The following is a 23024-nucleotide window of genomic DNA, read 5'->3' as shown; positions in this document are numbered from 1 at the left end:
AGAAAGAGGAAAGAACCAAGCACTTTATACATTTATTCAATTTATTTGAAAATAATGATAACCACCAAGATCCAGTATACCCTCAAAATTTTTTTTTTTTGAGACGGAGTCTTGTGCTGACGCCCAGGCTGGAGTGCAGTGGTGCGATCTCGGCTCACTGCAACCTCCACCTCCCGGGTTCAAGTGATTCTCCTGCCTCAGCCTCCGGAGTAGCTGGGATTACAGGCGCCCGCCAACGCACCTGGCTAAGTTTTGTATTTTTTAGTTGAGTCGGGGTTTCACCATCTTGGCCAGGCTGGTCTCGAACTCCTGACCTGGTGATCCACCCGCCTCGGCCTTCCAAAGTGCTGGGATTACAGGCGTGAGCCACCACTGAGATGTGCCCTGTCTGAACACATCCTACATACTCAAGAATAAAGTTCATCCTATTAAATCTGTGTTCTCAAATACTTTATTAAAATCAATCAATGACCATCACTACACTGTTAAAAAAAACATAAAGCCAACTTGCCTTTGGATTACTTCTATATTACTACAAAGTTGCAGTTCTTTAAAAGCCAGTATTATTATTTCATCAGGTGTCACTTAAAATTCATGCAACTCACATGTTAATCATGTAGCACACCATTTAAAATATATATTACCCTGAAACAAACCTAGACTTACCTGTAGTAATGGCTCGATGGAACTGATGCATATCTTCCCCTGATAGCTCTTGGGCTACCTGGAATATCTTTTGTCTGACACCATCCAATTTAATTTCTGATTCAGTCAATATATCTTCCATATCAGGAGCACTATGATCAAGATATTGGGAACTTTTAGAACATCAGATGCTTTAACAGTGAAAAACTAAAATAACCTAATTATCAACATAGGGCTAAATATTGTATGCATTCATATACTTCTAACTCAAAACTACTCAAAACTATTCATAGTATGGAGAACATGAAAATGTTATTAACACACTGTTAAGTGAAAAAAGTATACAAAAATTGTATGTTTACTATAAGAAAAATTTTGTTCATAAAAATATGATATATGGATAAATGTCTGCTTTCAGTAAGGGCAGAGTAACGTGGACTGGATTTATCCTCCCTCCTTAAACAACTAAAAAGAAAAAATAAATACAGAAAACAATGGTTACAGACACTGGACTACAGGCAGCATGGAGCAGTGATCCCTGGGGAAAGGGAGGAGAACAACATATACCCTCTGACTGCCCCATCTTATTGCCTGGAAAGCTTCCAAGTGACAGTACAGAGACAGGAAACTTAGGTGGAGCCTGGGAGTCAGCCTGAGTAGAAAAGGAGTTGGGAGTTTTGGGGGATCGAGACAGCTAAAATTTGCAGAGCAGAGTAACAATGAGGAGAAAGCTGTATAAACAGAGAGCTTCAGAGATTTATAGAAGCAACCTCCTCAAGTCTTCAGTTGAGTACTGATCAGTGCAGGCATGTGAGGAAACTACCTAAGGCTGGAAAAAGAATTGCCCAAAGTGAGCAGGCAGAACAATCCCCTTAGTTCACAGAGCCGGAAAGAATTGATTTATCATCAGCAGATTGACACTACAAAAAATATTAAAAGAAGTTCTTTAGGCAAAAGGAAAATGATACCAGATAAAAATCTGAATCTATACACAAAGGAATGAACATTTACAAAAATTGGTAAATGTGGATAAATATTTTTCTTATTTTTAAATCATACTGTTTAAAGTAAAAATCATAACATATTGTGGAAACAACAAAAGTAGAAATAACATGAATCACAACAGTAGCACAAAAGGCCAAGCTAGTAGAGGGGAAATGGAAAAGGAAGTATAAGATTTTTATACCATACGCGAAATGATAAGTAGTCCTTACTTTGCATGGTACTGTGTTAACTGAAACTTGGGCACATCAAAACTGTGACCTTCACTGGCAAAGTAACTGTTACCAAAAAATCATGCAAAGTGAAAAGATTCTTGTATGCACAAATTTTAGTAAACACAGTATTGTACAAAGTGAGAATAGTTGACAATAAGATATATATTATGAACCATAAAACAATCACTACAAAAACAAAACAAAAAAGGCATAGCTAATAAGCCTACAAATAAGATAAAATGGGATCATAAAAAATTATCCAAAATAAGGCAGGAAGGAGAGAAGAATAGATGGTAGATTTAATTATAACCATAGCAATAACTGCATTAAATGTAAACGGTCTAAACACCTGCACTAACAAGCAGAGATTTTCAGAATGGATTTTTAAAAAGCAAGAGAGACAAGAAATCCATGTTAAATATAAACACAAATAGATTAAAAATAAAAGGATGAAAAGATATACGTTCTAATAACAATCAAACGAAACAGGAGTAGCTATATTAACATCAAACTTTGGGCAAAGCCTATATCCAGGGATACCATCATAATGATAAAGGGTCAATTCATTAAATGCATAACAATCCTAAATATTAATGTACCAAATAAAAGAGCTTCAAGATACTTGAAGAAAAAACTGATAGGACTTCAAGGAGAAAGTCAAATCTACAATTATCGTCAAGAGAGGTCACCCTCTTTCTCTCTTAATAACTGATAGAGCGAGTGTACAGAAAATCATAAGGAAATAAGTGACGCGAACACCACTATCAGCCAATCTGACTTAATTACACCTAACAATAACAGAATACACACTCTTCAAGTGCACACACAACATTTACCAGATAGACCATATCCTGGGCCAAAATTAAGGCTCCATAAATTTAAAAGGATTCAAATTATAGAAAGTATGTTCTCTGACCACATGAAATTAAATTAGAAATCAGTATCAGAAAGTCGTCTGGAAAACTCCCAAAATATTTGGACACAAAATAACATACTTAAATTATTCTTGGGTCAAAGGTGAAATCAAAATGAAAATTAGCACCAATAAATTTCAAAACTTAGAGGAAATGGCAAATTCCTTGAAAGACACAAACTACTGAAGCTCACTGAAGAAGAGTTATCTATGTCTATTAAAATAATTTTGTAGTTAAAATACATGAGGTCCTCTCACAACAGTTTTTCAGCTGTACTGTGACTGGCTCATTTCTTTCATAAAGTTTTTTTTTTTTTTTTTTTTTTTTTGAGACAGAGTCCTATTCTGTCACCCAGGCTGGATTGCAGTGGCACAATTCTGAGTTCAAGCAACCTCCGCTTCCTGAGTTCAAGCAATTCTCCTGCCTCAGCCTCCCGAGTAGCTGGGATGCCACCAAGCCCGGCTAATTTTTATATTTTCAGTAGAGACAGGGTTTCGCCATGTTGGCCAGGCTGGTCTCAAACTCCTGACCTCAAGTGATCTGCCTGCCTTGGCCTCCCAAAGTGCTGGGATTACAGGCATGAGCCTCCACATCCAGCCTCTTTCATGAAGTATCTTTACTTTCCTGAAGTTTCTAATATTTCTAAAGTTTCTATTTTTTTCTTAAGTTTCTTATTTTTCTGAAGTCTATTATTTTCTCAGTTTACTAGTCAAAACTGTATGAACAGTATGATCACAACTATGATAAAAAACAGTGCACAAAATAAGAAATCTGCTAGTTGATAGAGGCTATCTTTGGGTACTACAGACTGATTTGTCTCATTAAGTAGCTTTACCTTTCTGCCATTCGTAATTTTTCTAAAGACTACCATTTTCTAAGTTTACTATAATGAGCATTTATTTTTTGGTGGAAAAATATTTAAAAGATGACTTCACACAGTAACGCAGATTTTTCTAAAATATTAAGGTCTCCTGTCATATTCCTATTACAGGTTGAGCATCCCTAATCTGAAAATCCGAAATCCAAAATGCTCCAAAATCCAAAACTTTCTTAGCAACAAGACACTCTAAGGAAATGCTCACAAGAGCACTTCAGATTTCAGATTTCCAGATAAGGGATGCTCAACCCATACATTATCTGCAAGTATTCCAAAATCCGAAATCCAAAACACTTCCAGTCCCAAGCATTTAGGATACTCAATCTGTATGTTTTTCTTTATATTATTGCTTTTGTTATTTATATTACTGCTGAATACTGATGGCAATTGTTTTAGAATTGTAATAAGTACTAAAAAAAAGTGTCCATAATTAATAAGAACAGTATTGCTTCTTTCGATAATACAAGCCTTATTATGTACAAGCTATCTAAGAATGATATGAGAAAACAAGCAAAAACTAATTTTACACAGTCAGGTAAGAAAAAGAAAATGTTAACAGTGCCATATTTCAATAAATCTATGTATGGCAAATTAGATTCCATTTAATGAAGTAAAAATTAAAATGTGAGAATTATCTTAAAAGTTTCATGTTACTGAACGGAATACTTCAGTATCTTTTTTTTTTTTTTTTTTGAGACAGGGTCTCATTCTGTCGCCCAGGCTGGGGTACAGTGGCACAATCATGGCTCACTGCAGCCTTGACCACCTGGGCTCAATCAATCCTCCTGCCTCAGTCTCCTGAGCAGCTGGGACTACACTTGCATACCACCATCTCCAGCTAGTTTTTTGTATTTTTTGTAGAGATGGGGTTTTGCCATGTTGCCCATACAGGTGTGAGCCACCATGCCCGGGCAATAATATCTTCAATAACGAAAAGCTAATAAATTATATGTGATCTTCCCTACATTCTTTCTGTGACATATAGTATAAAACCAATCACAGCTACCCTTCTGGAGACATCTGGAATTTGTAACAACAATCCGTCTTCAGAAGCTGGACTAAAACACGTAAGCTGGGGAGTTGTAGGGTAGATACTATTCTACCTCTCGTGAAACAGGCAAAGGAATCAGGTCAAATGAATTATGAAGCAAACAAAGAAGCAAAGATGGAAGATGGAGATCCTCAGCTGCTCATAAGATAGTGCTGAATCTTGGGAAGTTCTAATTTTTCTGAAGTCTGCTATTTTCTCAGTTTACTAGTCAAAACTGTATGAATAATATGATTACAACTGTAATAGAAAATAGTGCATAAAATAAGAAATCTGCTAGTTGATAGTGGCTTTTTTTATAATTAATTTCCCCGTTCTGCTTAGACTAGTTTAAGTTAGTTTCTTTTACTTGCAATCACGAAGTCTATCAAATATACAAAGCCTGCGTAGAAAAATAAAATAGTAAAGTCCTAGAGAAAAAAATGTAAACAAAAGTCACAAAACTGAAACAGGAACTTTCGAAAAAGAATTAAGTAGTCAACAGTATCATATGCTACAAAAATGTAAAATAAGAAAACAGAGACTTAATAATATGAAGGTAACAAGGGCATTTCAATAATTGTGAGGCAGAAAGCCAGACTGCCATGAGTTCAAAAATGAACGAGAAAATAGGTTATGCAGATTTTAACATTTATCTAATATTAAAATTTTCACGCATATCATCCAAATAAAGTTTAATGTAACAGGCTCTAACAATCAAAATATATCATATATTTTCACAGACAATAGCTATATCTTAATGAATAATCTTAACACAAAATCCCTAGCTGCTCTGAATTTTTCTTTCTTAAGTCCACCCAACCCCTACAGACTTTTCCTTTTTTTTTTTTTTTTTTGAGACAGGGTCTGGCTTAGTCGCCCAGGCTAGAGTGCGGTGGTGGGATCTTGGCACACTGCAGCCTCTGCCTCCCAGGCTCAAGCAAGCCTCCCACCTCAGCCTCCCAAGTAGCCGGGATGATAGGCATGCACCACCAATCCCACCTAATTTTTGTATTTTTAGTAGAGACAGGGTTTCACCATGTTGCCCAGGCTGGTCTCGACCTCCTGAGCTCAAGTGATCTGCCCGCCTTGGCCTCCCAAAGTGCTGAGATTACAGGCATGCGCCACCACACCCAGCTGAGACCTATTTTTATTAAAATATTAACTCTTAAGTTGTACCTACTGCTGATGTCTTCTAATCCTCACAAAGTCACAGAATATTCTAATAGCTAGTATCAAACTGTAATAAATTCTAAAGATGCTTACTCACCTTGTAATCCTATGGAGGAGAAAAATTGTCCTTTTACTTTCAACAGTTATATCCCGACTAAGTTTCACAAGTCTCTCATATTTGTCATGCCTTGCATCAAGTTCCTGCTGAAATGCTAAAAACACATTATGATCATAAGCATGTATATTCTATACTCAAAGCCTACCAAACAATATTTTTAAGATGTACGTCACATATGCTGGGTGCGGTGGCTCACGCCTGTAATCTCAGCACTTTGGGAGGCCACGGTAGGTGGATCATGAGGTCAAGAGATCAAGACCATCCTGGCCTAGACGGTGAAACCCCGTCTCTACTAAAAATAAAACAATTAGCTGGGCATGGTGGCATGTGCCTGTAGTCCCAGCTACTCGGGAGGCTGAGGCAGAAGAATCGCTTGAACCCCGGAGGCAGAGGTTGCAGTGAGTCGAGATCAAGTCACTGCACTCCAGCCTGGTGACAGAGCGAGACTCCGTCTCAAAAAAAAGAAAAAAAAAAAAAGATGTCACAATGTAAATGCAGACAATGACTGCAGTCACCTGACTTCATTCAGAAGTAGAACACGATGGTAATGACACTAATTCTCAAAACACAAAAAGGTGATTATAAACAATCTCTAGCATCTACTGACTCTAGTGTTAATTGTCAAATATCCTAGGTATACATCACTAACAGCGCTAAAGTAGCTCAAGAGGTCCAGTTAATGTTCCCAGATTTCTAAACCTTTAAAACTAAATATCTAATAATTTCTGTAAATGCCAACAACGCACAGCAGCTCACAAATTCCTGAATCCTTGAAGATTTTCTAAAAATCTGTCAATTGTAGTAAGGTAGCACGTGTATATTAAAATGAACATGAAACAACTTCTTAAAAGTGAGTGCCACAGTATGTGTATTGTATCTTAATTTTTTAAAAAGCTACCAAATTATATCACATTTAAATACTAAGTAAAAATCTAGTTAGCCCGTTTATTTTAGAAAGTACATAATCTCAAATTTACTGTTTTACCATGTAGTAATATTGCATACATAAGCATAATATACTTCAGAAATATTATTTTCAGAAAGATTAGTAAAGAAGAAAAAAGGAAAAATGACTGAAAATAGACAATCACTACATGAGTTAGTTTTGTTATAACTAGAGAACTAGATCATAAAGTAGTTCTGCAATCAATAGAAAGCTGTGGCAGAGTTCATCTGAAAATGATCAGTAAGAAACATCAAAATTTAATTAGGCTGGAAAAAAGTCAGCTGAAAATTGAGTTAGTCAGGATGTTAGAAATCTAGGAAGAGAACTGAAAGTAGGAGAAAATGAAGAAGAGTTCCTGAGATCGATGAAAGGCTGAACGCAGGCTGTGGTGTCCAATTCTTACATACTATCTTCGAAGACTCAACACTTCCACATAGAATTAATCTTCAACCTGTCAAATTGTTACGGACACAAATCTCCCATAACATAATATTACATTAAGAAAAGATTTCCTCCCCACTTTCATACATCCTTTTCCTTACAGAACAAAGCATTTTCACAATTCTAACATGTCTTGCCTTCAGGAAAATTTTCATACATTTGTCTCCTTAAATGTCAGCACTTTGATTCCTTATAGTTACTGTTTTCTCCTTACCTGTATTCGATCAGCACTTAATGCTGAATGGAATACTTTTGTTTCTATCTATTACATATAACTGCCAATCTGCTTACCTTTTATGCTAACTTAAGTTTCATCTACTCTGCTTAATTTGTTTTAGTCTCGAATATTGAGACTCAAAGAATTTTACCTTGGTAAACTTTTTACGGAAAGCCTAACTTGAGACTGCCAAACAAAAACAGTGTTTTAAGTTTTTTTAAAGAACAAGCTTTCATTATACCACTATCAGATGTTTCAGCCTCAAAATTTTTTCCTTACTAAAATTCTTAACAGTTAACAAAATAATTACTTTGTATTATTGTTTAAAAGACTACATCTAAAGTTTTGTGAATATACTTAGAGCAAAAGGTATTAAATAAATTTAACTGAAGAAAGACTGTTTACCTTTTCCAGAACACAAAGCTATACTTACAGAACGTTGTATATACCTAACATTTAATAAAACAGTACAACAACTGGGAGTCTACATAAAGATTACATTACCTATGGGAAAAATAACCCGCAGAATCTAGAATCTTTTCATAGTAAATTCATGCCTCTAACACATTAAACTGCCTCATGTCCTGCCCTTAGCTCATGAGCCAGGCAGACTATGTCTTCTTGCTAGTCCTGATTCTCTAAGCTTGTACCTTTCTTGATGCCTCTATTTTTGCTACTGCCTCTCATCATCTCACATTTCACTTTCATCATTCAGATATCATTCTGCTCAAGGACTGCTTAAGAATCACGTGCCTCCCTCCTCCCTTACTCTCCATTCCTTACCACGCTTCACTGATTTACATTTATCCTTCGCTAGCTAAAATTATATTATTTATTTGTAAATGCACTTGTTTCACCACTGTATCAGAGCATAGATCCATGTCTAGCAGCAGGTGTTCACAAAACATTTCCTGACTGAACTGCTTGTTGAAATCATAAGCAGTATAACATACTGGATAAGAGCATCTGTTGTAGTTTGAGATAAACGTACTAAGGGTATGCAATCTCCTGGGAACTAAGAAATTGTTGAAAAGGAACTGCAAATCCATGTGCCCAATAAGCACTGCCCCTAACATGGAATAATGTCTTATTATTTTGCTGCTATTACTTTTTCAAATGTATGCTAATGCAGTTGGAATAAAGTATAAATTACTCATAATAGTAATATAAGTTAATTTTATAAAGCACTGTTGAATCTGTCTCATCAGCTTCATTACTGTCATCCAAATCTAAGTTACCTTATTACTTTATTACCTCTAAGTTACCTTACAAATACCTTACTGTACCGGAACTACAAAATAGTCTCTTGTCTGGTCTGCGTCTGCCCACCTTGCCTTTCTGTAGCTGCCAGAGTGACATTTCTAAAATATACTTTAGTTTTTAAGACTCTCTAATGACTCTGCATTACGTTTAACAAACTCCAAACTCTTTATGAAGCCTTACATTACTTGGTCCCTTGCAATACCCCCAAAAAGAACAAATCAACAAACCATCATTTATGTAGTATTCCAGCCAGGGATGCATAACCTGAATCTAACCATGAGAAAATATTAATCAAATCTAAGTTGAGGAATATTCTATTAAATAAGACCTATATTCTTCAATCAATATCATTGTCAAGAAAGACAAAACTGGGAAACTGTTCCAGATCACAGAAAACTAAAAAGAGACATTACAATGTAATATGTGATCCTGTTCTAGATTACTGGACTAGAGAGAAAAAAAGCTGGAAGGAACCTTATTGAGACAATTGTCAAAATATGCACTGTAGATTAAAGTATTATGTCAGTGTTAAATCTCCTGAAATTAGTTAACAATACTAGAGTTATACAACAGAATAGTCTTCTTCCTAGGAAATATATTCTGAAGTATTAACAAGTAAAGGGGTATGATGCATGCAACTTGTTCTTAAATGGTTCAGAATATATGGTTAGACATATAAATTTACATATATAGAGAGAATAATAAAGCAAAAGTGGCAAAATGTTAAAAATTGGTCAATCTAAGTCAAGTCTATACAGAAATTCTCTGTACTATTTTTCCAACTGCATTAAGTCTTCTAGTTTTTTAAATAAATTTGAGATTACCTCAAAATAAATTTAAAAAGAGACAGTATTTCTTTACTCAGATGATTCAACAACAGTAGAATATTGATCTGATAACTCCTTTTAATGCAATTAACTCCAACTTTGATAGCAAAGTGGTTGCTCGGACATTAAAGATCCTGGGTTTGAGTTGAACAAACTATACTATCTCATGAAATTTTGTCTGGAAGCTAGTGCTTCTCATTAAAGACTTTCCGGGCCGGGCGCGATGGCTCACGCCTATAATCCCAGCTCTTTGGGAGGCTGAGGTGGGTGGATCACTTGAGGTCAAGAGTTCAAAACCAGCCTAGCCAATATATAGTGAAACCCCATGTCTACTAAAAATACAAAAATTAGCCGGGCATGGTGGCACAGGCCTGTCGTCCCAGCTACCTGGGAGGCTGAGGCAGGAGAATTGCTTGAACCTGGGAGGCGGAGGCAGGAGAATTGCTTGAACCTGGGAGGCGGAGGTTGCAGTGAGCTGAGACTGCACCACTGCACGCCAGTCTGGGTGACAGAGTGAGAGTCCATCTCAAAAAAAAAAAAAAAAGACTTCCCATGAAATCCCTTTTAAAATCTCCTCTGACAGACCTGTAAGCTTTTATGTCAAACTTTTCCAAAACACTTGGTAAATCTTATGAAAGGAAAAAAAAGGGAAATGATTTTAATTTTCTTAGAATACAAATGGCTAGAAAGCAAAAACAGTCTGTACCTAAAAGTACTGTCTCTATATGTAAGAAAGCAATAATTATTCAGTTTATGAAAATGAAGAGAATAAAATCATCTTATTTCTAAATTACATGGAAATCAAAAAGGCTCAACTAAAATATTTTCCTCTTTAAATATAGGTATGTATTAACTGGGTTTTACTACTTAGTCTCACAATGGGAATACTGTACAAGTTGTAAAAAATGAACTTAGTAAACAAGAGATTATCACAAAATGACACGTAACAAAGAGTTACATAAAGTTTTAAAAATTACTTTAACCACATATATTAATAATATAAACACCTCCAAAAAAAGAAACTTGGACCTTTTTTTTCAAGTTTATTAAAATTTTTTTCCCTGTTGTCTTCCTGCTTTTCCACCTTTACTGGGGTATAACTGACAATTAAAAATTATAAGGCCAGGCATGATTGATTATGCCTGTAACCCCAGCACTTTGGGAGGCCAAGGGGGACAGATCACTTGAGCCCAGGAGTTCGAGACCAGCAGGGGCAACACAGTGAGACCCTGCCTCTACAAAAAAATCTAAAAACTAGCCACGTGTGGTGGCACATGCCTGTAGTCCCAGCTACTTGGGAGGTTGAGGTGGGAGGATCACTTGAGCCCAAGAGGCTACGCTTGCAGTGAGCCAAGATCACGCCACTGCACACTTCAGCCTGGGCCAGGGTGAGGCGTTGTCTCCAAAAAAAAAAAAAAACCAAAACTGTGTGTGTGTGTGTGTGTGTGTGTGTGTGTGTGTGTGTGTGTGTGTGTGTGTGTTATTACCACTATTAAGCTAATTAACGTATCCATCACCTCAGTTAGTTTTTTTTTTTTCCTTTTTGAGTCAGGGTCTCTGTTGCCCAGCCTGGAGTGCAGTGGCCCAATCACAGCTCACTGCAGCCTCAAACTTCTGAGTTGAAGCAGTCCTCCTGCCCCAGCCCCTCCGGAGTAGCCAGGACTATAAGCATACTACAGGCGCATGCTGTCATGCCCAGCTAATTGTGGTAAAAACATTTAAGATCTACTTACTTAGCAAATTTCAAGTATAAACTTCCTGAATTTATCAAGCTCTGTACCTTGAAATACCCTTAAACCACTTAACTCTCTTAATAACGCCTTTATTTCCCAAGTCTTTTCACTCCACAGCCCCGCAAGCTGCCTGGCCTATAGGAAACACCCAATCATGTATATTGCACGAACTGAAAAAACAAGAACTTAAACTATTAACTAAATTAGTAGCTGACATGGATCTAAATATATCTAGTCTTTTATTACTGAGATAATAACTAGGCCAGGGTTAAGATAATCAATATGTATTCATTATTTATTATGGCTATATTAATGACCACTGTAAGTCAGACACTATGAACACAAAGTTAGATAAGGAACAATTCCTATCCTCAAGGAGCTCAGTCCTGTATGAGGGACAGAGATGTAAACAAATAAAATGTAATCATGCTATAACAAATATATGTAAAAAACTTATGAAAGCAGAAACCACGTTTCTTGTTCACTACTAATACATGCGAGAACATAGCAGATACTCAATAAATATTTCATGTTGGTCACCAAGTCGGCTTGAGAGAAAAATCAGAACGCATTCACAGGAAAGAGGCTACTTGAGCTAGGTCTTAAAGAAAATTGTAGTTCAGGCCAGGCGCAGTGGCTCACGCCTGTAATCCCAGCACTCTGAGAGGCCGAGACGGGCAGACTGCTTGAGCTCGGAGATCAAGACCAGCCTCCAGCAACATGGCGAAACCCTGTCTCTACAAAAAAATTTAAAAAAATTAGGCATGGTGACACACGCCTGTAGTCCCAGCTACTCAGGAGGCTGAGGTAGGAAAATGGCTTGAGCCCAGGAGGCAGAGGTTTTGCAGTGAGCCAAGATCGTGCCTAATTATTATCTCAGCCTGTGTGACAGAGACTCTGTCTCAAAAAAAAAAAAAAACCAAAAAACTGTAGTTCAGCAGACGGGTAATGAGGACACCACCTTAGAAGCAACTCCACCTTTTCTTTTTTTTGAGATGGAGTCTCATTCTGTCGCCGGGGCTGGAGTGCAAAGGCGCGATCTCGGCTCACTGCAACCTCCGCGTTCCGGGTTCAAGCGATTCTCCTGCCTCAGCCTCCCGAGTAGCTGGGATTACAGGCACCTCCCACTACGACCAACTAATTTTTCGTACTTTTTTTTTTTTTTTTTTGAGACGGAGCCTCGCTCTGTTGCCCAGGCTGGAGTGCAGTGGCACGATCTCGGCTCACTGCAAGCTCCGCCTCCTGGGTTCACGCCATTCTCCTGCCTCAGCCTCCCAAGTAGTGGGGACTACTGACGCCCGGCTAATTTTTTGTATTTTTAGTAGAGACGGGGTTTCACCGTGTACTTTATTAGAGTCAGGGTTTCACCATGTTGGCCAGGCTGGTCTCAAACTCATGGCCTCGTGATCCCCCCGCCTCGGCCTCCCAAAGTGCTGGGATTACAGGCGTGAGCCACCACACCCAGCCGCAACTCCACCTTCTGTATCAGTACGCTCTTTATTCAATTACGGCCAGCTGTCTTAAACTTCTGACGATCACAGTAGATACTGTGGTGGTTTTCAAATATATCCACAAATAACCTGAGACTCCTCCCTCCAAAGGGTGGGACATAACTTCCTTCCTCTTCAATGTGAGACAGTTTTTAAAACTGCCTCCCTTCTAACAAACACAATGTGACAAAAATGACAGTGTCTGATGTCTGAGATTAGGACATAGAGATTGTGGTTTCCTCCTTGCTCTCTTGCACTCTCTCTCTCTGAAGGAGGCCAGATGCCACACCAAAGGACATCCAAGCAGCACAAGAAGTTCATGTGGACAGGAACAGAGAGCTGGTTGCAGGCAAAAGGCCTAAACTATCAACAGCTGTAGATCCTTCAGCCCCAATCAAGGCTTCAGGTGATTGCAAATAGGAATCAACCAGCTAAGCCCTTCCCAGATTCCTTAATCACAGAAACGTAAGGTACAGGATAGTGGATAGACAGGGACAAAAGGAAGAGGATTTTGTTTTGTGTTTGTTTTGAATTGAGGAATAACTTGTCCAAGTTAATATGCTGAGAAAAGGGGACTGTGAAAATATGTGTATATAGATATGCGAGATTCACTAATAGATACAAGCTCCCACTCTGTGCTAAGTGTTACAGTTAAAACAAAGATACCGTCCCTGTCTTCAAGTCTAGTAGAGGAAACAAATACACACTAAATGAAAATATATTTTAGCATATAACAGATGAGTAAATATTATCAGGTACACAATTCTTGAGTATGTGACATGTCAAATATTAATTAATGTTTACTGTTTCTTGTGTTTAAGTCATGTTTACCTGATTACTAATATTTCTCTTAATGGGACATAAAAGTGAAGGCCTTTGTAATCCAGACTTTTAGGGTACATCTAGCGCCATCACAAAACCTCCAGCTAAAGTTTCACATTAAATTCTTAGGGACTGTTTTCTTGCGCATAACCATGGCTAAATAATTTTGTTCTCTCCCCTTCTTCAACTTACATTGCAGAGAACTTACATTTAAAGGCCAACATCACGGGTGAAGATGAATTAACATCCTTCCCTTCTCTTCTTTGGTTATGTGGGAAATTGTCATGCTTCCTTTTCCTGAACCCTCCTGATCCTTATATAGAGAAGAAAAAAAGAGAGGGATCTTCCATCACCAAGAGTTTGCAAAACACAACATAGACAAACCTACTCCTTGCTTTAAAACCAGATACCCACAGGGCCCTCGCCTTAGAGGCTTTCTCCGCAGACTGACAGAGACGCTGCCCAGGCCTTTCCAAGCAAATCATCCAAGTTTCCACCAACTGGTGCTATGATCTGGCATTACAGCAATTACTGAACTAGGATAAAATCACACCTCAAAAATTTAAGAAAAAAGGAGGTGTAAACAGGGCCGATCTGGCCGGGGAGAGAAACAGAGGGGCCGCCCCCGAGTCTACAAGGGACGAAGGCATCCTTCAAGGGTGAAAAGGGGAAAACTGCATAGAAAGACTGGAGAACCTCCCCCTCCGGATAAATAACGCCCCGTGTTGTTAAGGACGCCACCTTCTTTGTTGCTCATGTCGTCACAGCCTACGGTGAGACGAGCGGAGACTGAAGGACCTGGAGCAAGAGGAGTGCGCGAGGTACAGGCCGAGGGAACCTGGGAAAACAGCCTGCAGAAAAACGCTTTGCAGCCGGGCCGACTACAACGCAGTGGCCGGAAGTCTCCTCTCACGTACTTCCGGCCTGCGTCCGGAGGGGAGGGGAGGCCGTCGCCGCTGGCTCCGCCCACCGCGTGGTCCAAGGACCACCACCCGCCACCGCCGCGCGAGCGTACTATTGCGGCCGCCCTCTGCTGCGCCTGAAGAGAGAGGCGACTCTACAAGCCTCACAGCATGCACTGTTACTAAAAAGACGATGCGTCCTCCTGGACCTGAGATCTGTGTGATCGTGGGAAAGCGACGAAAAACGTACGTAATTTTTTTCTGAAGGCACCTTCGGGACACCTTACCCTTCCCTCAGGGGGGCCCAGCTTCGCGCGCGGTGCTGTGGGGGTTGTAGTTCCTCCGCCGGAGCGGGACCTCCGGTGCCCCGGGCCAGGGATGTGAGAAAGAAGCGAGCCCTCGAGTTTCCTCGGGGCATGTGGGAAGGTTTTTTTCAGGATCCAGGCAGAACCTTACAGAGCTGGGAGTTTTTTAACTTTCCATTCCTGGCAGTGACGCCAGGAGCTTTAAGTGATGGAAATATGCGAGTCAATCAGTGGATGGTGTTAGTACTGTTTTCTCTTATGAAGATCAAGCCTGCCCTTCGGGTCTACTTCCACCTTTTCCCCCTGCCCGTCTCCCACCGTCTCCCTCCTCTCCACTGGCTCTCAGAAGCCGGACAGCCTGTGTTCAACTTGCCTCCACGGAGTGGTTGTGTGACCTTGATGAAGCACGCAACTTCTCTGCCTCAGTTTCCTTATCTGTAACATAGGGATAGAATAGTACCCGCCTTGTAGGGTTATTTGAGGATGAAAGGAGTTAAGTCTCGTGAAAACGCTCTTTCACATATAACTGCTCAATTAAATATTAAATACCATACTCCTCTCCCACCAGGGCTCTCCCAAACAAAATGATAGACAGGTGAGTAATAGCAGCTGTGTTCCACTAAACTGTGGGCATTTCATTATGAGCAGGTGCTGCCACCATATCTAGACTTTGTGCCGCCCCTTAGCCCCAGTGCTTCTCAGCGCTGTGATCCGGTCCCATGTAAGCTTCCGTCAATGTTTGTTGAAGAATCATGTTCCTGGTGTCAGAATAGGTAACTAGATGGCAATTCAGCACCGTCTAGAGAGAAACTCAGGCCAAGGCTTCATAACTGGGGTGCCCTAGGCCTAGTACAGAAAACACAAGTACATTTTAAGCTTTCTCTAAATAACCTCTCTATTGTGGTCATGTGTTGAACACACAGTCTTTTCTCCTTGTTAATTTAGGAACAAAGGAACAGTAAATGGAGTAACTTGGCTAGAATATGGCAGTAACTACAAGGCATGTTCTGCTCTGGCACGAAGGTAACCACCACTCATACCTCTCCAGCCCTGTGAATACGTCAATTGACTAAGCAGATTCCTTGAGGATAAAGTAGGCTCCTGGGGACCTTGCTTGTTGGGCTACTTGCTTTGTGGATGTTAAACAGATAATTCTCATGAGTTTGAGTGACGTCTGATCTACCAGTATTCCCCCTACTCTGATTAGAAATGACTTGACCATGCCAAAAAGAATAAAAGACAGCTCTGATACAAATGTAGCCATTTTAATGTGACTCCCTCTAGATCCAAGGAAGCCAGTACTTACGAACATTTTCAGAGTCAATACTTACTGTACTGTACCATAGTCGAGGAAAAGGGTATTTTTCCTAACTCTCCTGGAGTAGCACATCCCAAGATCTCAACTTTCCAAAACCTGGATCAACTATATTTCTTTTCTTTCTCCAGCCACCACTCCCCTAGCCTGTTCAACTACAGCTATGTTACCTGAACTGCTTTCCACTCTTTCCCATAAATGTAATGATTAGAACACTAAGTTTCATAACCTGTAATGACTTCTGAAAGTATTTAAGGGAGGTGAATCCCAGGAGCACTTTCCCAGCACTTATTTGCATATGCATTTACCCCAGGCCTCCCCAGGTGTTCCAACTTGTAGCTACTCCTTTGTCAGGAAATAGATTTCAACTTCTGTAACAACCTGCATCCCTACCTGGTCTCCTTGTTTTATTGCTTCAGATGCAAACACATAGTTTTGGTACTTGGCAAAACAGTTTTTTGTTTGTTTTTTAAAGGAAGACAACCACCCCAAGTCAGGGAGAGGAAGGTAAAGATTTTTAGTAGGATCTTACCTCTGATGTTGTTTTTACTTGTTATTGTTGCTTTTTTTTTTTTTTTTTTTTGACACGGTTTCACTGTCACCCAGGCTGCAGTCCACGGCTCACTCACTACAGCCTCGACCTCCTCGGGCTCAAGTGATCCTCCCACCTCAGCCTCCCAGGTTGTTGGGACTACAGGCACATGCTACTATGCACGGCTAATTTTTTTTTTCTCTCCATTTTGTGGAGACGGGGTTTCGCCATGTTGCCCAGGCTGGTCTCAAACTCCTGGGCTCAAGTGATCCACCTGCCTAGGCCTCCCAAAGTGCTGGGATTACAGTGAGCCACTGTGCCTGGCCCCCTGTTGCATTCTAATTGCCTATATTTGACTCTGAATGAAGCACTAAGCCTTTCAATTGCATGGTGGTTATTCAGTTCATAAATCCTCTCATTGGTCACCATTAGATTAAGAGAAAAATCGCATATCAAAACTGGTTTGGGAGGCCAAGGCGCGCAGATCATTTGAGGTCAGGAGTTCGAGACCAGCCTGGCCAACATGGTGAAACAGTCTCTACTAAAAAATACAAAAATTATCTGGGTGTGGTGGCACGCACCTGTAATCCCCAGAGGCTAAGGCAGAAGAATCTCTTGAACCCAGGGCGGGAGTTTGCAGTAAGCCAAGATAGCGCCACTGACCTCCAGCCTGGGCCACAGAACAAGACTTCACCTCAAAACAAAAACAAAAACAAACAAAAAAAACTGGTTTTGGATATTGAAGGAAAATCATATAATCCAGTAAAGAGAAGATAATTAACAGATTATCTATTTCAGCATTTCCCTTATTTAGTTATTACATAAATAACTAAATCCTGGGGTAGAAGAGATCATGGGGAATTGTAAGAATCTGGAGTTTCTGTTTTTTAAAAGATAACCATAATATTTAAAAGATATCTGTGGGATCCAGAGTGGTATTGTGAAGTGTACACATTACCTTTATTGTGAATAAATTCAAAGATTTATTTTTCAAGCAATGCTAGGATGTAGTAGGAGAAAATGATGTTCCAGTTTTATAACACAAGAAAGAGAAGCTCATATTGAAGAAGTAAAGAGTGATGGGTAAAACCACAATGAGATATCACTTCAAATCCACTAGGATGACTAAATTTAAAAAGAAGACAGAAAATAATAATTGGTGAAGATATGAAGAAATTGGAACCCTGATCAATTGCTGGTAGGAATGTAAAATGGTCCAGCCACTATAGGAGACAATTTGGCAGTTCCTCAAAGAGTTGGACATAGAATTACCATATGACCCAGCAATTCCACTGTTAACTATATACCTTGAACACAAATGTTCATAGCAGCACTACTCACAATAACCAAAAAGTAGAAATAACCCAAATGTCTATCAGTAGATAAATGGATAAACAAAATGATATATCATTTGGCAATAAAAAGGAATGAAGTACTATTCATGCTGCAACATGGATGAAACTTAAAAACATTATGCAGAGTGAAAGGAGTCAGTCACAAAAGACCACTTATTATATGATTCCATTTATATAAAATGTCCAAAATAGGCAAATCTATAGATAGAAAGTAGATTCAAGGTTGCCTAGGGCTAGGGGCCATGTAACAGTGAGGTGGAGGGGTGATAGCTAAAGGATGTAGGGTTTCTTTGTGAGGAGACGGAAATGTTCTAAAATTGACTAGGGTGATGGTTTCACCTATTTGTGAATATACTAAAAATTATTGAATCAGTCAGTTTAAATGATGAGTTACATGTGAATTATACTTCAATGAAGCTATTAAAACAAATTTTTAAAAGTGTTGGGAAACATTCCTTTCAAGTCTTGTAAATATATTGTGTATATATATATATGTAAATTTACTATATACATGTAAATATATAGATAATTCAATGTTATTAGGAAAAAGCATTAAACAATATGGCTTAAGTTTATTTTTATTTTTATTTTTATTTATTTATTTTTTTGAGATGCAGTCTCGCTCTGTCACCCAGGCTGGAGTGCAATGGCACGATCTTGGCTCACTGCAACCTCTGCCTCCCAGGTTCAAGCGATTCTTCTGCCTCAGCCTCCTGAGTAGCTGGGATTACAGGTGTGTGCCACCATGCCCAGCTAATTTTTTTTTTTTTTTGTATTTTTAGTAGATATGGGGTTTCACCATGTTGGCCAGGCTGGTCTTGAACTCCTGACCTTGTGATCTGCCCACCTTAGCCTCCCAAAATGCTGAGATTACAGGTGTGAGCTACTGTGCCTGGCCGGCTTAAGTTTATTTTTAATACTCCATAACAAAAAAGTATGTAAAGTACTTTATAGGTTTGACAATATTTCAACAAATATTTCTGTGCCTGGTTTATGCCTGACAATGTGATTGGTGCCATACAGGATGCAAACATTTACTATCTCTACTTCTCCCATTCTTCTTGATCTAGCTCTAATCAGGCTTTCACCCCATCATTTCTCAGAAACTGCTCTTGTCAAAATCTAGGGATTTTGCAATGACTTCCGCATTGCAAAATCTGATCGTCAGTTCTAACTCCTCATCTCACTTGACCCTGAAGCAGCATTTAAAACAGTTGTCATTCCCTGTGTCTAGAAACCACATTCTCTTGACTCTCCTTCTATAATACCTCAGTAGCCACTTCTTCCCAGTCCTTTATAGTTTCTCCTTACCTCCCCAAACACTGAATTGCTGCAGAAGTCCTCCTCTCTTCTCTATTACACTTACTCCCTTGTTGATCCCATTCTTATGGTTTTAAATGCCATCTATAATCTAACAATTCCTGCACTTCATATATTCAGTTCAGAAAACTCATAAATCCAGTCCAAACTCATATCGAATTACCTATTTACTATATTCTCTTGAGTGTCTAACATGCTTCTCAAAATTAACGTGTCTAAAACTGAACATAGCCATCTTCCAATACCTACTTCTTCAGCAGTGTTCCCTATTTCAGTTAATTTCTATTCTTCCAGCAGGTCAGACTAAACACTAGAGTCATCTTTGACTCCTCTGTTTCCCATTCCATATTGGGCCACCCTCCCCCACAAATTCATGTTGAAGCCCAACCCTTAGTGTGACTATATGTGGAGACAGGGCTTTTAGGAGTTAAGTAAGGTTAAATGAGGTCATAAGAGTGGTGTTTTGATCCATTAGGATTGGATTGGTGGCTTTACAAGAAAATATCTCTTTCTCTGTCCATGCACCAAGGAAAGGCTACATCTCTTTCTCTGTCCGTGCACCAGGGAAAGGTTTTGATCCATTAGGATTGGTGGCCTCATAAGAAAAGATCTCTTTCTCTTTCCATACACCAAGGAAAGGCTATATGAAGACAGAGCAAGAAGGTAGTTATCTACAAGCCAGGAAGAGAGTCCTCACCAAAACACAACCATGCTGGTACCCTGATCTTCAACTTCCAGTCTTGAGCTGTTGAGAAAATAAACTTTTATTGTTTAAGCCACCTAGTCTATGGTATTTTGTTATGGCAGCCTGAGCAGACTAAGATACTTTTTATTACCAAAATCCTTTTGGATCTACCTTCAAAACATATTCATATTACAACCAGTCTCCCCAAATTCTGTTAGTACCTTAACTCAAGTTACTATCATCTGTCACTTGAAATAGAGCAATAGCCTCCTAACTATATACGGATGTCAATCCTCCTCATTGAGATGCAGTCCATTTTCTCCCTGAAACTGAGCAGGCCTTTTGACTTGCTTTGACCAATAGAATTTGAAGAAATGATGCTGAGCCAGTTCCAGGCCTACCCCTTAAGGAGACTTGACACTTTCTACTTTAGCTCTCTTGGAACTTTGAGCCACCACGTGAGGAGTCTGATTACCCATTCGCAAGTGATGCCTAAACAGCCCCTGTTCCTTCCAGACAACCCACCTGAGGCACCAGACACATGAGTGAAGCCATCTTGGACATCCCAGTCACAGCCAAACTCACTCCTGAGTGCATCTGCATGATGAACCCAGCAATCCCCACCATGGAGCAAAGGATCCATCCAGTCAACCCAAAGAATCGTGAAAAATAATAAATTGTTGTTTTAAAGTTCTTCAGTTTGGGAATAGCTTGTTATGCAACAATACATAATTAATACACTGGTCTCCCACTTTCAAGTTTGATTAACTTTCAGCTATTTTTCACATAGCAGGCAGAGTGATTCCATTAAAACATATATCAGATAATGTCACTGCACTAAGTAAACTCTACAAGGACTCTCATCTCCCTCAGAGTAAAGGTCACAGTTGTTACAAGGCCCTACGTAATGTGGCCCTCACCACCACTCCATTACCTTTTTCTTATCTACTATTTGCTAACTTTGCTTTGTCCTCTTTTCTGTTCTGAAACAGGCTAGGCATGGTCCTGCCTCAAGGCCTTTGCACCACCTACTCTGTCTGCTTGGATTGTTCTTCCCACAGATTTCTTGCTCCCTTCTTCCTTCATGAAGAAATGTCATGAAATGTCCTTCCTTCATGAAATGTCACCTTCTCATTTGAGGCCTTCTGTAGTACCCCAAAGAATGGTCCCCAAAGATGTCCACATCCTTATGCCCAGAACCTGTGAATGTGTTATCTTAATGGCAAAAGTGACTTTGCAAATGTGATTATATTTAAGGATCTTAAGGAGGAGATTATCCTGGATTATCCAGGAGGGCCCAATGTAATCACAAGGGCCCTTATAAGTGAAAGGGGGAGGCAACAGAGAGAAGGAGATGTCATAATGAAAACAGATCCAAGTGATGAGATTGCTGGCTGGGGTGGAGGTGGAGGGGGGTACAATCCAAGGAATGCAAGAAGCCTCTAAAAGCTAGGAAATGTCAGGACACAAATTCTCCCCTAGAACCTGAGGAAGAAACCCAGGTTTATGGACACTGATTTTAACCCAATAAGTCCCTTTTCTGACTGCTGACCTCCAAAACTGTAAGATAATAAATTTGTGTTATTTTAAGCCAACTGAGTTTGAGATAATTTAGTTATGGCAGCAATAGGAAACTAGCACACCTTCCTAGCCATCCTATCTAAAATGGCAACCCATGTCCTTCCTGGCACTTCCTATCTCCCTTCCATGTTTTTTTTAAATCATATATACAATATATTTTACTGTTTTACCTATTGTCTTTTCCACCAGAAAGTAAACTCCACGTAAATAAGGATTGTCTGTTTTATTCTTTGCAGTATCTCCACTGCCTAGGATAGCATCTGCACATACTGCACACTCAGTACACATTTGTCGAATGAGGTCAGGCGCGGTGGTTCACACCTGTAATCCCAGCACTTTGGGAGGCCAAGGCGGGTGGATCACCTTAGGTTAGGAGTTCGAGACCAGCCTGGCCAACATGGTGAAACCATGTCTCTACTAAAAATACAAAAAGTAGTTGGGCATGGTGGCATGTGCCTGTAATCCCAGCTACTTGGGAGGCTGTGGCAGGAGAGTCACTTGAATCTGGGAGGTGGAGGTTGCAGTGAGCCAAGATTGTGCCACTCCACTCCAGCCTGGGCAACAGAGTAAGACTCTGGCTCAAAAAAAAAAAAAAAGAAAGAAAGAAAAAAATACATATTTGTTGAATGAACAAGTGAATGAACAAATGTTATGCAAATATATTATCCCTATCTGTAGCTTGCCTTTTAATTTTGTTATAGTAACTTTGGTTGAAAGGAAGTTCTAAAATCTTTAATATAATCAAATGTATCAATCTTTTCAACTTGTATATTTTATGCCTTGTTTAATCAACTCTGTCTTATATCAAAATTATAAAAGTATTACCCTGTATTTTCTTATAAAAGTTTTGAATCTTTTCTTTTTCCACTTAGATCATTAATCAACTTGGAATTGGTGTTACATAGTGGTAAATGATTGTCCCAGGACCACATATTGAATATTTTATCATTTCTCCACTGATTTGTAACAACACAGTGGTTATATATCCTGTTTATACATGGGTCTGTCTCTAGGTTTCCGGTTCTGTTCCAGTGGTCTGTTTGCTTACCCTTCTACTAATAGCACATTGGCCTAATTACTATAACTTTATAATGTGGCTCAATCTCTGGAAAACCACATACCTCTCCCCTCCTCTTTCTACAATATTCTTATATTTTGCAACTGGCCTTTACTGTTTTGTATTATTTTTAACAATACCTTATATACCCACATATATTAGATGCTCTTAGCATCACTATTTATAGCATCTAAAAATTGGAAATTATTTAAATGTCCACCAATACATTAGTTAAATAAATTAGGTTATACTCACATAGTGG

The 23024-nt window shown here is 39.2% G+C and overlaps 1 protein-coding gene and 2 long non-coding RNA genes across 10 annotated transcripts in view, besides 4 other annotated features; 1 reads left to right on the top strand and 2 right to left on the bottom strand.

Moving 5' to 3' along the window:
• Positions 1-14609, bottom strand: part of TSNAX (translin associated factor X) — a 37856-nt gene extending 23247 nt beyond the window's left edge. The window contains exons 1-4 of the mRNA NM_005999.3: positions 14452-14609; positions 13919-14023; positions 5951-6065; positions 667-797 (exon numbers count right to left, since the gene is read on the bottom strand). Coding sequence (NP_005990.1) covers positions 667-797; positions 5951-6065; positions 13919-14023; positions 14452-14467 — 367 coding nt within the window. The 5' untranslated portion in view covers positions 14468-14609. The remainder of the gene's footprint in view (positions 1-666; positions 798-5950; positions 6066-13918; positions 14024-14451) is intronic.
• Positions 1-14625, bottom strand: part of TSNAX-DISC1 (TSNAX-DISC1 readthrough (NMD candidate)) — a 512620-nt gene extending 497995 nt beyond the window's left edge. For 7 of the 8 annotated variants that reach the window (NR_028393.1, NR_028394.1, NR_028395.1 and 4 more), the window contains exons 1-4: positions 14452-14625; positions 13919-14023; positions 5951-6065; positions 667-797 (exon numbers count right to left, since the gene is read on the bottom strand). This is a non-coding gene — a long non-coding RNA (TSNAX-DISC1 readthrough (NMD candidate)). The remainder of the gene's footprint in view (positions 1-666; positions 798-5950; positions 6066-13918; positions 14024-14451) is intronic. The other variant, NR_028398.1, reaches the window with a different exon arrangement.
• Positions 13853-15052: an enhancer, noted in NCBI's record as "MED14-independent group 3 enhancer chr1:231663972-231665171 (GRCh37/hg19 assembly coordinates)". NCBI's record gives its function as "activates an origin of replication core promoter dependent on BRD2, BRD4, P300/CBP and CDK7 cofactors, and independent of MED14, by STARR-seq in HCT116 cells {active_cell/tissue: HCT116}" and the evidence as "EXISTENCE:reporter gene assay evidence [ECO:0000049][PMID:35650434]".
• Positions 13853-15342: a biological region, named in NCBI's record as "MED14-independent group 3 enhancer GRCh37_chr1:231663972-231665171".
• Positions 14521-15342: an enhancer, noted in NCBI's record as "NANOG-H3K27ac-H3K4me1 hESC enhancer chr1:231663682-231664503 (GRCh37/hg19 assembly coordinates)". NCBI's record gives its function as "activates a minimal SCP1, AML or CMV promoter by ChIP-STARR-seq in naive H9 embryonic stem cells {active_cell/tissue: H9 hESC(naive)}" and the evidence as "EXISTENCE:reporter gene assay evidence [ECO:0000049][PMID:30033119]".
• Positions 14722-22544, top strand: TSNAX-DT (TSNAX divergent transcript). Its single transcript, NR_173106.1, has 3 exons — positions 14722-14858; positions 15863-15940; positions 20641-22544. It is a non-coding gene; the product is annotated as a TSNAX divergent transcript (long non-coding RNA).
• Positions 17021-17315: a silencer, noted in NCBI's record as "tiled region #8140; K562 Repressive non-DNase unmatched - State 23:Low". NCBI's record gives its function as "represses a minimal TATA promoter and a strong SV40 promoter by Sharpr-MPRA in K562 cells {active_cell/tissue: K562}" and the evidence as "EXISTENCE:reporter gene assay evidence [ECO:0000049][PMID:27701403]".
• Positions 22545-23024: the final 480 nt, after the last annotated feature.

This window comes from Homo sapiens, chromosome 1 (genome assembly GCF_000001405.40).
Source record: "Homo sapiens chromosome 1, GRCh38.p14 Primary Assembly".
NCBI lineage: Eukaryota > Metazoa > Chordata > Mammalia > Primates > Hominidae > Homo > Homo sapiens.
This window is presented reverse-complemented; position numbering and strand designations above follow the sequence as displayed.